This window comes from Homo sapiens, chromosome 5 (genome assembly GCF_000001405.40).
Source record: "Homo sapiens chromosome 5, GRCh38.p14 Primary Assembly".
Classification (NCBI taxonomy): Eukaryota; Metazoa; Chordata; class Mammalia; order Primates; family Hominidae; genus Homo; species Homo sapiens.
This window is the reverse complement of record NC_000005.10, coordinates 44,235,360-44,240,543: the sequence shown is the minus strand read 5'-3', so window position 1 is coordinate 44,240,543 and position 5,184 is coordinate 44,235,360. Positions and strand designations below refer to the sequence as shown.

General features: G+C 37.7%; 1 annotated feature.

Annotated features, from left to right (window-relative positions):
* Positions 3,790–4,310: an enhancer, noted in NCBI's record as "OCT4-NANOG-H3K27ac hESC enhancer chr5:44236336-44236856 (GRCh37/hg19 assembly coordinates)". NCBI's record gives its function as "activates a minimal SCP1, AML or CMV promoter by ChIP-STARR-seq in naive and primed H9 embryonic stem cells {active_cell/tissue: H9 hESC(naive and primed)}" and the evidence as "EXISTENCE:reporter gene assay evidence [ECO:0000049][PMID:30033119]".

The window sequence follows — 5,184 nt, the reverse complement described above, 5'->3', positions numbered from 1 at the left end:
GAGATTAACATTTGAGTTAGTGGGCTGGGAAAGGAACACTCACCCTCAATGTGGGTAGGCAAAAGCTAATCACCTGCCAGCATGGCTAGAATATAAGCAGGAAGAGAAAAGTGAAAAGAGAGGCACTGCTTAGCCTCCAGCCTACATTGTTCTCCCATGCTGGATGCTTCCTGCCCTCAAACATCGGACTCCAAAGTTTTTCAGTTTTGGAACCTGGACTGGTTCTTCTTGCTCCTCAGCCTGCAGATGGCCCATTGTGGGACATTGTGATCATGTGAGTTAATACTTAATAAACTTCCCCTTTAAATATTACATATCTATTCCATTAGTTCTGTCCCTCTAAAGAACCCTGACTAATACAATTCCTAACAATGCTGGGATATCGGGGGACCTGCCCCGATAATCACGTAGGTTCTTTTCTATTTTCCTAAGCTTCGACTGGCTTGAGAAATAAAAGGACAGAGTACAAAAGAGAAATTTTAAAGCTGGGCGTCCTGGGGAGACATCACACATTGGTAGGATCCATGATGCCCCACAAGCCACAAAAACCAGCAAGTTTTTATTAGGGAGTTTCAAAAGGGGAGGGAGTATACAAATAGGTGTGGGTGACAGACATCAAGTACTTAACAGGGTAATAGAATATCACAAGGCAAGTGGAGACAGGGCGAGATCACAGGACCACAGGACCGAGGTGAAATTAAAATTGCTAATGAAGTTTTGGCACCATTGTCATTGATAACATCTTATCAGGAGACAGGGTTTTGAGATCAACCGGTCTGACCAAAGTTTATTAGTCGGGAATTTCCTCTTCCTAATAAGCCTGGGAGCGCTATGGGAGACTGGAGTTTATTTCACCTCTGCAATCTCGACCATAAGAGACAGGTATGCCCCGGGGGGGCCAGTTCAGAGACCTACCCCTAGGTGCGCATTCTCTTTCTCAGGGACGGAATTCAGCGATATTTCTCCCATTTGCTTTTGAAAGAAGAGAAATATGGCTCTGTTCTGCCCGGCTCACCGGCGGTCAGAGTTTAAGGTTATCTCTCTTATTCCCTGAACAATTGCTGTTATCCCGTTCTTTTTTTCAGGGTGCCCACATTTCATATTGCTCAAACACACATGCTGTACAATTTGTGTACTTAATGCAATTATTACAGGGTCCTGAGATGATATACATCCTTCTCGGCTGACAGGATTAAGAGATTAAAGCAAAGACAGGCATAGGAAATCACAAGGATATTGATTAGGGAAGTGATAAGTGTCCATGAAATCTTTACAATTTATGTTTAGAGATTGCAGTAAAGACAGGCATAAGAAATTACAAAAGTATTAATTTGGGGAACTAATAAATGTCCATAAAATATTCACAATCCACATTCTTCTCTCATGGCTTCAGCTGGTCCCTCCGTTTGGGGTCCCTGACTTCCCGCAACAATTTAGGAGTTTTTTTTAGTTCGTTGTTCTTACTATAGTAAATATATTCTACCAATATATTTAAAGAACTGTCTTTTGGTTGATTTTCTTTATTCTTATACTTGGGTACTTTTTATTTCGTAAAATATTCCTATAATTTTCTTTATTCAGCTTTATTTTATTTATTAGATGTTTCCTTAGTTTTTTAGTTTAAGAAGAGCCATTAAAATTTTTTTTCTTAACATATGGTTTTGCAGACTACAGATTACTCTGTAAGCACTCTTTTATTTGCATCCTATAGGTTTTGATATTATTGTTCCCTTGTAAATATCCATTTTGATTCACTGTTGAAGAATGAACTGTTTACAATTGTGTTTTATGCTACGTTGCTACATCAGATTTCTTTTGATTAACATCTTCCTTCTATATCTTTCTCTACCCCCACTCCACACAGTCTTTTATTATGTTTTAAGTATGTCTCCTGTAATCATCATATAGCTGGATTTTTAAAATTTTTATCTTGAAATATTTTAATATTTTAATGGAAAATTTAGAACTATACTCAGAATTTTTTTCTGAATGATTAAAGAGTAAATTGGAGAGATCATGCCCCATCACCCCAGAATATTTATGTGTAATTCCTAGAATATTTACCTACATAAACATAATACTGCCATTTAAATCAGGAAATTAGAATAGACAGATGGCTATGATATAATCCACAGACTACCATTAAAATTTCAGTTTTTTTCAATAATGTTTTCTATAGCAAAATTATCCTGTCCTCAGCTATATTTTATATTAACCTCTGCTTTTCTCCTTCAATCTGAAATAGTTCCTCAGACTCTCCTTGACATTCATGACGTTGACACTTTCCAAAATAACACTATTTTGTAGAATGTTATTAAGCTTTTATTTGTCTGATATTCCTTCATTATTAAATTCGGGTTATATATATTTATTGGAGGAATATCACAGAAGTGATGCTGTGTTCTCATTGTTTTACCAGATGGTATGCAATTTCAATTTGGCCTACTACTAGTTGTGTTAACTTTTATCACTTGATAAATGTGATGTCTTCTAAGTTTCTTTCCTATAAAGTTGTTTTTCCCTTTGCAATTAACAAATCTTTGAGACTAAGTAAATACTCCATTCCTTGTCAAATTTTCTGTCACTAGTTTTCCCATCCATTGATGTCTTTATGACTGAATTATTGGTAAGATGGTTGCCAAATAATAATTTTTCATTCCATCATTCCATCTACACTTATTAATTGGCTTTCTGTTGTAACAAAAAGCTTTCTTTTGTCTCCATTTATTTATGCATTTGTTTATTTATAACTGTATGAAGAAATAACAATTTAATCACCAGGTTATAATCTATTACTGTCATTATTTTGATGTACAAATGATTCCAATGTTTGTCTAATGTGGGCCTCTTCAAGCCAATTTTGTACATCATTTTCTGAATACTTCCTCACTTTCTGGTACAATAACATTTTCCATGCTCATCTTGTACTTTGCCTGCCCAAGCATTGGAACCAGCCATTTCTCCAAGGAGCCCTAGTTCCTTATGGCTGAGAATTATATTTAGAAATGAAGATCAGTGTGCACATTGGTATTGTGATTACTCGGGTCTCTCAATGGACATAACCAGGGCATATATGTAAATACACGTTTACATCTATGTGTATGTTTTACTCAACTATCTATGTATATGTTTTTAAAAAATGAGTTAATACCAATGTCTCTGATTTCAGTGCAATACCATAGGATTAATTCCAGTTTTTTTTATTTCCATATTTGTAACCCCCTTTTACTACAGTGAGAAATATGACTCCCATTGTGTTTGTCTGCTTGGACTGCCATAACAAAATACCATATCCTGGGTTGCATAAACAACATAAATTTATTTTCTCACAATTCTAGATGCTGGAAAATCTAAGATCAAGCTGCCAGCCTATTCGATTCCTGATGAGATCTTTCTTCCTGGCTTGCAGAGAGAGAGAGAGAGAACGCTCTAGTGTCTCTTCTTATAACTACAATAATCCCATCATGAGGGCCTTGATCTCCATACCCCATCTAATCCTAGTTTTCTTCCCAAAGTCCCTGTCTCCAAATACCATCGCATTGGAGGTTAGGACTCAATACGTGAATTTGAGGGAGATGCAAACAGTTAGTTCATGACACCCATTATCCTTGATATGATCTTTCACCAGATCGTTTCCTTGTATGAAAACAAATTCCAATTGCTGCTGCTGCAAACACACCTCCCCCTATTTTCATGAGCGTCCGTGTGAAAAGACCACCAAACAGGCTTTGTGTGAGCAACATGGCTGTTTATTTCACCTGGGTGCAAGCGGGCTGAGTCCGAAAAGAGAGTCAGCAAAGGGAGATAAGGGTGGGGCCGTTTTATAGGATTTGGGTAGGTAAAGGAAAATTACAGTCAAAGGGGGTTTGTTCTCTGGCGGGTAGGAGTGGGGGTTGCAAGGTGCTCAGTGGGCAGGAGTGGGGGTTGCAAGGTGCTCAGTGGGCAGGAGTGGGGGTCACAAGGTGCTCAGTGGGGGTGCTTTTTGAGCCAGGATGAGCCAGGAAAAGGACTTTCACAAGGTCATGTCATCAGTTAAGGCAAGGACCGGCCATTTACACTTCTTTTGTGGTGGAATGTCATCAGTTAAGGTGGGGCAGGGCATATTCACTTCTTTTGTGATTCTTTAGTTACTTCAGGCCATCTGGGCATATACGTGCAGGTCACAGGGGATGCGATGGCTTGGCTTGGGCTCAGAGGCCTGACACCTATGTAGACACTCAACACTCTTTTTAACTTGCTCAGTCCCTGATGACCATGTCAGACCACCACCACTGCTTCCACTATGCGGTCACCAACATGACCCAACAGGTTTCACCACTCCATGCAAGGCTGCTACTCTTGCCATCATCTCTGCCACCTGATGCAGGTAGTCTTTCCCCTACTCAAGCTCTGAGGCCCCACACCAGGCCGTCTGCTCTGCCCCTCTTTGCAGATGTCCTAGTTATTCTGTTTGGGGTCTAATACTAACCATTTCCCCCCATAAACACACACACATACACATACATACACAGTGCATATGCCTCTCTTTTTTGAACTTAGCTGGTTGATTTTTTTTTTTTTTAGACACCAGTATTAATTGACAATCTGGTGACTTTAGGATTTAATTATAAAGAAAGAAGGAAAGGCTTTTTTTTAAAAAAAAATCCAATCTAAACACTTTTAGCTGAAGAAATTCAGTACTTTTATGTTTATTGAAATTATTTATAACCTGAACTTTCTGCCACTATTTTGTTTTGCTCTCTTACTGTGTTTTTTTTTTTGCTTGTTTTTTATTTCTTTTTTTCCTTCTGTTGAATTGAATTTCCCTTTTTCATTTTTATATCCTCTACTAATTTGGAAATTACAATGACCAATTTTTAAATTGTTTCTCTTACAATCATATCACGCATACTGACTTATAATGGTCAAAGTCAGTCAACACTGCTGTTCTTTTAATAAAGATTCGGAGATCTGCCTTCATTCACTTCTTCCCATGTGACACATTACTGCTATCCACAATTTTACGAACTTTCTTTTTACACCATCAAATTGTCCATTTTTATTATTATTCATTGTTTTGTTTAATTAATGTGTATTGAAATTTACTTGACTCTTTACCAGTTTCTTGGATGTTACATAGTTTCATAGCAAGTTTAGAATTGCTATTAGGGATTTACTTATATTCATTCTGGTTCAGACTTGTAT